At 40.2% G+C, this 11,285-nt stretch overlaps 1 annotated feature.

Moving 5' to 3' along the window:
- Positions 3,930 to 5,129: an enhancer, noted in NCBI's record as "CDK7 strongly-dependent group 2 enhancer chr4:146220501-146221700 (GRCh37/hg19 assembly coordinates)". NCBI's record gives its function as "activates an origin of replication core promoter dependent on BRD2, BRD4, P300/CBP, MED14 and CDK7 cofactors, with strong dependence on CDK7, by STARR-seq in HCT116 cells {active_cell/tissue: HCT116}" and the evidence as "EXISTENCE:reporter gene assay evidence [ECO:0000049][PMID:35650434]".

Raw genomic sequence — 11,285 nt, 5'->3', positions numbered from 1 at the left:
TGGCTTCCCTCATGCTGTTTTCATGATAGTAAGGGAGTTCTTGGGAGATTTGATGGTTTAAAAGTGTCAGTTTCCCCTGCATTCTCTCTCTCCTGAAGCCATGTAAGACATGCCTTGCTTTCTCTTCACCTTATGCCACAATTGTAAGTTTCCTGAGGCCTCTCTAGCCATGCAGAATTGTGAGTCAATTAAACCTCTTTTGTTTATAAATTACCCAGTCTCAGGCAGTATCTTTATAGCAATGTGAAACTGACTAATACAAATGGTATTTCATCTTGGTTTTAGTTTGCCTTTTTCCTCAATTATTAGCAAGTTTTACTTTATTTATTTTATTAATTAATTTTTTATTTTGAGACAGGGTCTCACTCTGTCACCCAGGCTGCAGTGCAGTGGTGTGATCTCGGCTCACTACAGCCTCAACTTGAAGCAGTCCTCCCACCTCAGCCTCCCAAGTAGCTGGGTCTACAGGTGTGCCACCACACCTGGCTAATATTTGTATTTTTTGTAGAGACAGGATTTTGGCATGTTGCCCAGGCTGATCTTGAACTCCTGAGCTCAAGTGATCCACCCACCTCAGCTTCCCAAAGTGCTGGGATTGCAGGTGTGTGTGAGCCACTGTGCCTGCCTGAAAGTTTTACTTTAAAAAGTTGTTCCTCATTCAGCCTTCACATTCTTGCCAATATATCTCCTTTGCTCATATTTTATTGTTTCCTATCTTTTTACTGCTAATTTATAAAAGTTTGCAATACAGTCTAGATATTAAACCCTTATTAATTTTAGACTTAACAAATATTTTATCTCATTTTAGTATATGTTAACTTCAACATGTGTACTTCCTCGAACAGAAATCCTGATTTATATATAGTCAAATCCAATGGATTTTTGCTGAATTGCTTTTGCTTTTTAAAACAGATTTAGTTGAATTTAATTTTTATGTTCTTTAACAGAGTTCAACATTTTTTTCTATAAAGTTCTTATGCATTCTTTATCAGACTGATTCCTAGTTTCTATGTATTAATAGTTTTTATAGCTATTCTAAATATTTTATTTTACATTATATTTTCTAGTTAGTTGTTTCTCCTAGAGAGGAATATATTTTATATTTGTGAATTTAAGTTTTGCTCTGTTTACTATTGCATGCCAAAACTTGCTGGCATTAAGACAGCCATCTTATTTTGCTCATGTATTGTGGGGGTCAGGAATTTAGATAGGAAACAGTGGGGAGAGTTTGTCTCTGCTTCGTGATGTCTGGGGCCTCAGCTGAGAAGACTTAGTGGCTGCAGGTGACTTGACAGCTGGGAGCTGGAATTCTCTGCAGGTGCCTTCACTCACATGCCTAGTAATTGATACCGACTGCTGAGTGGGACCTCAACTGATTTTTTAGGCAGAACACCTAGATGTGGACTGTTTGCCCTCTTCTCTTGGGTTAGTTTGAGCTTCCTCGCAATAATGATATCTGAGATCCTGGCATGCCAAGGGGAAGTTGCTAAGCTTTTTATGACCAAGTCTTGGATGTCATAATCAGGAATGTGCTGGTAAGAAAGACACCAGTATCACTAGGATGTTCAGTGATGACTCTCTTCTGCATGCCAGGGCTGGTGATACAGAAGGTGGTCACAGAGCTGGGTTCTTTAATAGCATGGCGAAGTACCAATAGCCATGCATTGGTACTTAATCACTGGGGGCCAGGTCAGAGGGGCAACCAAAGGCCTTTGACCAATAGGGAGTTGAGAGATGGTTAATTGAACGTTTGTCCCTAGGGGTAAAATAGGCAGCAACAAGGGTGCTGTTTAACATTTGTTGTAAGAACGAAGCAAGACCAGAGAAGCAGGAAGTTGAGAATGGTTGTCCAAATAAAAATTCAGGATCTTTTTTACAGTTCCTGTCCCTGAGCCAATTTTCAGATCCAGAACCCATTGACTAAAGAAGTGTCTGGGTCCCTAGAAAGAAAGACCTTGCAATACCATGGCAAGTGTATGTTGTAAAGATTTCCTTAGTGCCTCTACAAAGTAACCTACAGTCATATTCAAGGAGCTACATACACTGTGGAGATGGAAATAAACACAGGTCTGGTGGACACAGAGTCCGAGTTGACATTGATTCCCAGAGACCTGAAGTATCATCGTGGTCTACCTGTTATAATTGGAGCATATGGGGAGAGTTAACAAATGGAGTTCTGGCCAAAGCCTGACATATTTTCCTTGTCCCTGAATGTACTGGTGGTATTGACATACCTGGCAGTTGGAACCTGGGGCTCCACTGGGTCCCTGGCCTGTGGAGTAAAACTATCATAGTGGGGAAAGCCAAGTGGGAGCCTCGGAAATCTTCAAAGTAAGGAATTCTTGGGTAGAGGAATGAGATAAACATGTGGATTTGCATGTGAAGTATGTAAACCCAGTAGACAAAATGGGTTGGCCTGAGTTTATGTTAGCTAACCTTTGTCAATGTGTCCACTGCAATGCTGGCAGAATGCACACGCAAAGTGGCCGTGGCAGTTGAGACAGAGATTGCACATGAGCCCAATAGCAGAGACTGTTACTCATCAAGGCCCATCTAGCTATTAATACTTCCAATATCTAACCTGCCAACCACAGAGACAAATGTTAACCCCCTGACATGGCAGTGTTCCTCAAAAAGACCAACTGGCCACTTGGTCGCAAACTGACTTCACTGGGATTCTTCCATGTTGGAAATGCCAGCAGTTTCTTTTCATGGGAATAGATACTTACATTCCTGATATGGATTTGCCTTTCCCACCTACAGGAAAGCATCACTACCTGGGAATTTATGGAATGCCTATAGACATAGAATTCCACACAACATCCAACCAGAGAACCCACTTTAACTGTAATACAAGAGCAAGGTGGGCCCATGATTATGCAATTTATTAGTCATATTACACACTGCTTCTCCCACACTGCCCAGAAGCTGCTGGGGTTTTAAAGTGTTGAGCAACTTGCTGAAGGGGCAACTGATGCACTAGCTCACAAGAGGTGCCCTATGAGATGCAGCACCATCCTCCAGGAAGCAGAACAATCATTGAATCAGACCTCACTGTGGCACCGCATTTTCATCAGGAATCATCAGGTTCCCATGGGTCTGGGACCAAGGGATAGCAGTAGAATCGGCCCCACTTACTATCATTCCCAAAGATCTACTGGGGTACTCTGCAGATTCCTGCCTGGGCTCTCTGAAGGATGAGAAGCCCTCATTTCTAAAGGGGGCATGCACTCACCCAGGGAAATAGCAAGAGATTCCCTGAAATACAGGATACAGCTGCCCCTTGAACACTTTGGGATATTTATGTCCAGGGATCACCAAACAAGAAAAGAAGTCATCAGCTTGTCATAATTGACCCTAAAATGCATGAGAAAGAAGATTTCCTGGTATAAGAGACAAGCAGGAATATACGTAGCACTCAAGTGATCCAATTTGAGCATCTCTTGCCACTCTTTGCCCATATAAATGGAAACATGCAGCAGGCCTAGCCAGAGAAGTTTATGTTTAATGGGGAATTCTACTCCAGAAAAACTGCCAAGGCCAACATAGAGTGAAAAGAATTTAGAATGGATAGTGGAGGAGAAAAATGATGAGTTCCAGCTGTAGCATAGAGACCAACTGCAGAGACAGGGGCTCCATTTTGTCTCTGAACTATCCCTCAGGAAATTAGGCCCACCAGAGCCCTTGAGGAGCTAGCTATTTCCAAATATCTTGGAGAAAAGACTCGCTGACCAGAAGAAAGAAGGTGACTACCCGGCAGCCTCCAGTTGTCTACTTCTTCAGGATTCACCTCAGTGTTCAAGCCACGTTCAAATTCTTCTTGGAAAGACCCTGGTTCATGACTGAGCAAGGCAGTGGTAGCAGAGGTTAGACCCTTCTTTGGGTGGTGCCCAGCCAACAACGAGCGTGGCAGTGGCGTAAGGGCCTAGTCCTTTGTTTACCATGCAGTCCTCCTCCAATGGGCAGTCATTACTGTGGAACTTCTTGTTGGGCTGGCACAGACATTGTAAGGTCTTTATCATGTTCTGATGATTCCCTCTTCTCAGTATTGCTTCTTCAGCTTCTCTTTCACAGGACTTACTCTTCAGTAAAATATTTGCACTCTTAATTCCATCTCAGTTTCTGCCCTCCAGAGGATCTAACCTGAAATACATTTTATTCATTTTTGTAACCAGATTACTTAGCATAGTACCTGGAACATAATAGGTGCTCAATAAATATGTGATAACAGGACTCACTTTATTTACTGCAGTCTATGGCAAACTATATACCTAGTCATGGTCTAGTAACATGGCAGAGGCAAACAAATTTCCTTTCTTGTTTTTTACTTTTATCTTCTGATTCAAGAAACCTTTAACGATTTGAATGCAGCAAAGATGATGATGTTTTTGTTGGCTTTTTATTCATTAAAATGAGACACAATCTAATTCTTCTAAGTCCTTTATAATTTTCTGAGGCAGAAAATTTTCCAGGCTGGGAAAAGAAGACAAATTTGTATTTACATCACAGGGCATTTTCACCAGATATTTTTCTCAAATGACTAACGATGTGTTCATCACAGCCAGTCAAATTTGAGTTGCTACCCATAGGGACAAGACAGTAGAAATAGCCCATCAGCCAAAAAAACCACATAAAAGCCTTCAGTGCAACTCTGAAGCCACCCACGCAGCTGCCTGAGCAATCAGTCAGGGCACAGAGGCAGGAACTCAACTCATGTGGTGGCTAAAAGACTGTTTGAAGAGCTTGGCAAAAGCTTGTGGATTTCATAAAGGGGCTTTTACAATGAGAAACAAAAAATGATTTAGATCAGCTGCCCCCACTGCAAATACAGTTTCATGTGTCACTTTGTGGACGGCTTTGCCACTATATATGATGCTTTGCTTCAGAGAACTAATATAAATAGCACTATTGAAATGTACTGCACAGAACGAGAGCAATTCTGAGAGCACCTCTAGACAGATGAGAATCGTCTATCTCTGGGTCAAAGTATTTAAAAGGAAAAAACTTGGGCAATTGTTTTTATCTCAGGGATGAGAAGAAATGCCCCAACAAATTTTCTTTGAGCATACTAGTGACAAAGTGAGTGAAAAGCTGACCTCTGTACTAAAAACCTGATACATTCTCTACAGCAATGGTTCCCAGGGGTGTCAAGTTCATGTACCTTGCAAAGCAGAATCAAAATTTGAGGAACCTTACAGAACGGCTGTAAATTCCCACTGTACCCTTTGTATTCCTACTAAAAGTCCTACAGTCATTTTTGAGTATGAATTTTGGAGTCATTTATAGCAATCATTTGAGTGAAGTATTATGCAAAAACCCATGAAGTCTGCTAATGCATATACCTGGCTCTTAACTTGGCCAGCATGCCAACATTGAACTTCCTCTTGGACAGAGGCCACCCATTATTATGAGTTGTGCTAAAGCCTGTAGTGGTTTTGAGATTGAAAGTAAATGCAGTTAAAGACCGGGGCTATAAACCCCTGTTCACTTGAGACATAAAGAGCCTGGTATGTGTATAAGTAAGCCCTCCATTCTACCCTTTTAGGAGAGACAAAATAATTTGGTGTTCTTCTACCACTCAATTTATATTCAAATTAAAATATAATAATTTTTCCTGTGTGGAATGTCCTTGCTGTTTTGTTTTGTCAGGGCAAAAGAAACTCATTTAATTAAAAGAACCCTTAAACACATAAAGCACAATTGACTTCATCTAAAGAGAATTTTTTTCACATGTTCATGTAAGTATTTGTAATTTCTTTATACTGAATACAAACAAACACCCTGTTTTCTTGGCATATTAAACAACTGCTGCATATGTCTTCTGACTTAATTCTCAGGATACAGAGTGAATTTTGCAAGTAAATTCAATTTCATGTGCTAAATACATCTCTTTTAAAAGGAAAATGAATTGACTTCAATGGAAGCTTCTGATGCAAGCCCTCTAAATGCAAAATGCTAGAGGAACTTTGCAAATCTATTACCTTTAATACTATACTGTACCTCTAATTTCTCTTTAACTGCTAGCCACGAAAATGGTTGCTTTTTAAAACTCACCTTGCAAATGGTTAAAACACATACGCGCAATAGACTATGGTTTTAACCAGCATTGGGTTTTCAAAGGTTTAAATGTTACATAGCAGCAAAAAAGAAAAAGAAGGGAGAAATGGTAAAAAGTAGCATTTTTGAGAATTTAATATGTGCCAAACATTTATGAAGCACATTATATAGTTTCTGGTGGCCATATAAAGAGGGTAGCAAGTCCAGTTGCTCATCATGTTTATCAACACATACTATATTACACTTCTTGGGAGCCAACTGCAATTTCTATTACAAGAGACACTGGAAAACTGTTTATGCTAATGAGAAGTCTACTTTTTCCTAGTATCAATTAAAAGAAAATCTTCATATCAGATGCACGTACTTTCTTTTAAATAATTTAGTGAGCATAATACTCATGCCATACCAAGAGAAAAAGTATACAAAATAGTGTTTTGGCACCTTTGGTTTCAAGTAAATAATATCAATAGTTTGAACAGATGATTTCTGAGTGACAAGAAATTAATCAGTATATGCTGGGCTGGAAAGCATAATATAACTCAAGAAGAAATTCCAATTCTGAAGACTGGAGGTATTATTAGATGTCATAAAGAGAACACCTGGGAAGTTACAAGATCTCATCTGAAGCTATCTATATGAGAAAGATGATGGCCCAGTTACCTACTGATGCATAACAAACTACCCCAAATGCTGGTGGCTTAAAACAATTTATTAGTAGGAGTAGTATGTCTCACTCTGGGTCTATTATGTCTATTTTGTGGGTTAGAATTTGGACAGGGTACAGTGGAGACTGTCTTTGCTCAACAATGTCTGGGATAATTCAAATGGCTAGGGGCTGGAAGAGATGGGAAAAGGGCCCAGCCATCTCTCTCTTTCTCTCAATCTCTCTCCCTTTTCAAGCCTATGTGGCTACCTAGGGTCTCCTCAATGTATGGTAGCAGGCCTGTCAGACTTCTCAGATGGTAACTGAGAGTCCAAGAGGACCAGACAGACTGGCATGGCATTTCTTCTGCCATACTTCGGTGGTCAAAGCAGTCACTGGTCAGCAGGTCAGGAGGAGAGCGACTAGATCACACTTCACACTTCTCAAGATATAGATAATCAGGGAATTATGGCCCTTTTTAGTGAACCACAGATGAACGATAGAGACATTTAAAAATTTCAGGCATAAAAAGTCACGATTTCTTTTTAAGAGTATTTCAGATGGAGGCCGGGCACAGTGGCTCACACCTGTAATCCCAGCACTTTGGGAGGCCAAGGTGGGCAGATCACTTCAGGTCAGCAGTTCAAGACTAGCCTGGCCAACATGCCAAAACTCTGTCTCTAAAATACAAAAATTAGCCAGGCGTGGTGGCGTGCACCTGTAATTGCAGCTTCTTGAGAGGCTGAGGCATAAGAATTGCTTGAATCTGGGAGGCAGAGGTTGCAGTGAACCGAGAGTGTGCCACTGCACTGCAGCCTGGGTGACAGAGCAAGACTGTCTCAAAAAATAAAAATAAGAATACGAGTATTTCAGATGGAAAAACAAAATTTACTTGAGTTGTCCAGACACATGCATTCTAAACTCAAATGAATAAGCACATTTCAAAAATATTATATTGGATCCCACTTCTTTTATCCTAAATCTTTGTCCTATTTTGGTTTTTTGTGTCCTTGATATTTAATAGCAATGATATTTAAAACATGATATTTTAATCCATGACAATAGCATCATTTTCTCCTCTACTGTAAAATAACCAACCAAGAAAGGCAATCTATTAGGAACACCTATTGTGGCTTCAAACAATCTTTCTGAAGGTTTTGTATTCACATCAGCCTTTAAGAAAGTGAAGTTTTTAGAAACACAATAATTTAACAACAGAATTACACATCTGAGTTTAAATGAATATTGAGCCAGCTGTTTAAATGTAAAATAAATCTGTTCCTACCAATAATCCTAGAAATATACTTTAAAAACCACATACTATCTACCTAAGTAAAAGCAAACTCAAGTAATGACACAGAACCTGGGTGTCGTGTTGGTAGGGAGACTCCTGGCAATGTGAAATCAGAATGGTTGCTTAAACATCGTGAATGGATCAGGGAACACCAGCTCCCCAGCACCACAATCTCCCATCTAAGATCTCTTGCTTGGCATAGAGCTGCCTGCTCTGCCCGATATTCAGTTTCTCTCAACAAATGCATCTTGAGAATCAGAATCAGGTTCTGTGCTGGAAACTGAATATTAAATGACATGGTCAATGCTCTGGTGGGAATGACAGTCCAGTGTTGATTTTCTATTTCCCATCTTCCTTGTCCGTCCTCCTTGAAGCTGATCATGGCGATCTTTCCCCATTACTCATTTGATATGTTTGTTGAGTGGTATTCTGCACCAGTTATGTGAACCACTTGTAAACAAAAACAAAAAGATGCCACAGTTCCATAGGTCCTATATTAGTTTCCTAGGGCTGCCATAACAAGGTACCATAAACCAGGTGGCTCAAACAACAGAAATTCATTGTCTTACAGTTTTGGAGGCTGGAAGTCTGAGGTCAAGGTGTCAGCAGGAGTGGTTCCTCCTGATGGCTATGAAGGAGAAACTGTTCCATGCCCCTCTCCTAGCTTATGGTAATTTGCTGGCAGTCTTTGGCATTCCTTGGTTTGTAGATCTGTCTTTCACATGGTGCTCTCTGTCTGTATGTCTGTGTCATACAGGATTAGGAACCCGCCCTACTCTAGTATGACCTCATCTTAATTATATCTGCAATAATATTATCCCAAATAAGGTCACATTCTGAGGTGCTGAGGGTTCAACATATGGATTTTGAGGGGACACAATTCAACCCATAACATGTCCTCAGTAGTCATAATTACAGAGCAATAACCCTCTGTGCCTCATAAATAAAGCAAATGTACTTTTCTCTCAAGAATGAGAATATGTAGGGACAGAATTATTACAGTAGTCAGCCAACTTTTGAGTACTGTCAACTTTGTTCTGTATGTGGCCTAGGAAGGGATAATTTAGAAACAACGTTTTATGCAAAAGAAAGTAGAAAGATTTCCTAGAGTGTCTGAAATTTATTCACTTAACATACGTTTACTGGCCATTGTTCTGAGCACTGAGGACACAGCTGTGAGCCACATGGACAAAAATCTCTCCCTTCATAGTTATCACATTCGAATGAAGGGAGACAGCAAATAAACAAAACTAGCAAGTAAATCACAGTACTTTAGTAGGCATCAAATGCTATGAAGCCCAGGTAAGGTGGATGGGAAATACAGGGGCTGGGGTGGAGGCTGACATTTTAAGCAGGGTGGTTAGGGAGGCCTCACCTAGAAGGTGCCATTTGAACAAGTAGATGAAGGGGGTGAGGGACCATCCATGTAGGTGGCTGGGAAGGGCTGCAGACAGAGGAAACAGCTGAACAGCTGGTGGGATGGGAGTAAGGCTGATAAGTTTAAGGAAAGCAAGGAGGACAGTGTGACTGGGGAATGAGTGAGGATGAGAGCAGTTGATGGGTAAGATCAAGGAAATGTAGGGCCAGATGATAAAGGGATGTGTGGCCCATTGTAAGGATTTCATATTTTCTCTAAGTAAAGTAGGAAGCCATTGGAAAGTTCTGAGTAGAGGAGTGATGTGATCTGACTTGGATTGCTTTAGGACCACACTAGTTTTAAAGGGGACAAGGAAGGAAGCAAGGAGAAGCACAAGCAAGCTGTTGACATAGTCCAGGTGAGAGATGTTGGTATCTGGGGCCAGGATGATGTAGGTGTAGGTGGTGAGGAGTATTTGAAATCTACATATATTTTGAAAGGAAGACCAATTATATGGGGGATGTATTGAGATAGGGCATAAAAAGAAGGAAGGAAGTAAAGGAAGAAGGAATGCAGGAAGAAAGGGAGGATAACTCCAAAATTTTTGGCCTGTGCCAAATGGCAAATTCTCTTCACCTTTCGTTGATATGAATTAATTTTTTTATCTAAATGAGATGAATAACAAATCATGAATACATACATGCATCCATGAATACAATGTTATGAGAGTACATTAACAATTTATAACATTAGTTGCCTTAAGAAAGGGGTAGCTGGCTGGGCATGGTGGCTCATACCTGTAGTTCCAGCTACTTGGGAGGCTGAGGCATGAGAACCATTTGAACCCAGGGAGCAGAAGTTGCAGTGAGCCGAGATCGTGCCACTGCATTCCAGACTGAGTGTCAGAGTGAGACTCTGTCTCAAAAAAAAAAGGGGGGTGTCTGAGAGCAGGAGTAGGAAGGAGATTCTTCCCTGCCTCCACTTTTGTATCTTCAAATGTCAAACCATTGAAATATATTTATGAATACAATCAACATTTTAAAATTTCCCTGGCAGGTGTGTGGAAGCTTGTACAGCAGGTGAGCCTCAGGACAAGCTGCCGGTTACTTTTTCCTCCAGTGTCCCTGTCGTGATCTCCCGCTCATTGTCTCATGACTCGCTCTTCTGAAGCAATGCTTAATTCAGCAGCATATAAACCAAAATTAGAATGACTCAGAGAACAGGACCCCTAAGCATTACAGTTTATATCATTATGAAGCAAATTTTTCCATGCAAGTTTCTTTAGATCAGTTCAAAAACAGTGCCTGTGTTTTAAGAAACCATAAACTACTATTAACATCTGATTTATAATAGAGGCCCATTCTCCTAACCTATCTGATAGATTTATATCTTGGTATTCTTGGTGAGTGGATTAGATCTCATTATGTGCTGCTGTATATATTGTGGGAGTAACTTTGATTAATGAAATAGATACATTATCTCTTACCTGAATGCTAAATGTATTTTATTTTATATAAAACTTCATGCCATCCAGCCTTGCTCCATTAACTTTGCAGTACACTTTTTATATGTAAATCATAAAATCATCTGAACCTCTAACACTCAGGGACCAATTTCAAGAACATGCATCGATTCAAGATGTCTTCCATGATGCTTTTCAACCTTCAAGACTTTAACAAATAGTTTTTTGGAAAGATATGACTAAATTATTTTCCTTACTCTTTTTGGAGGTCTAAAATCAGCTAAATTTTTACTTTTTGTGTTTCTTGGTCTAGGAATCTAGTCATGGAATCAACAAAGTTGAGTAGACAGAGAGTTTATTATTTTTTTTACCCAAATATAGGTAACCTAGGTTGTAGCTCCTATGCCTTACGAGCACAAACCTTTCATTTCTGCCTCAAGCTTAGAAATAAGATATAAGAAGCAAAGTGAAT

Source organism: Homo sapiens, chromosome 4 (genome assembly GCF_000001405.40).
Source record: "Homo sapiens chromosome 4, GRCh38.p14 Primary Assembly".
Classification (NCBI taxonomy): Eukaryota; Metazoa; Chordata; class Mammalia; order Primates; family Hominidae; genus Homo; species Homo sapiens.
This window is presented reverse-complemented; position numbering and strand designations above follow the sequence as displayed.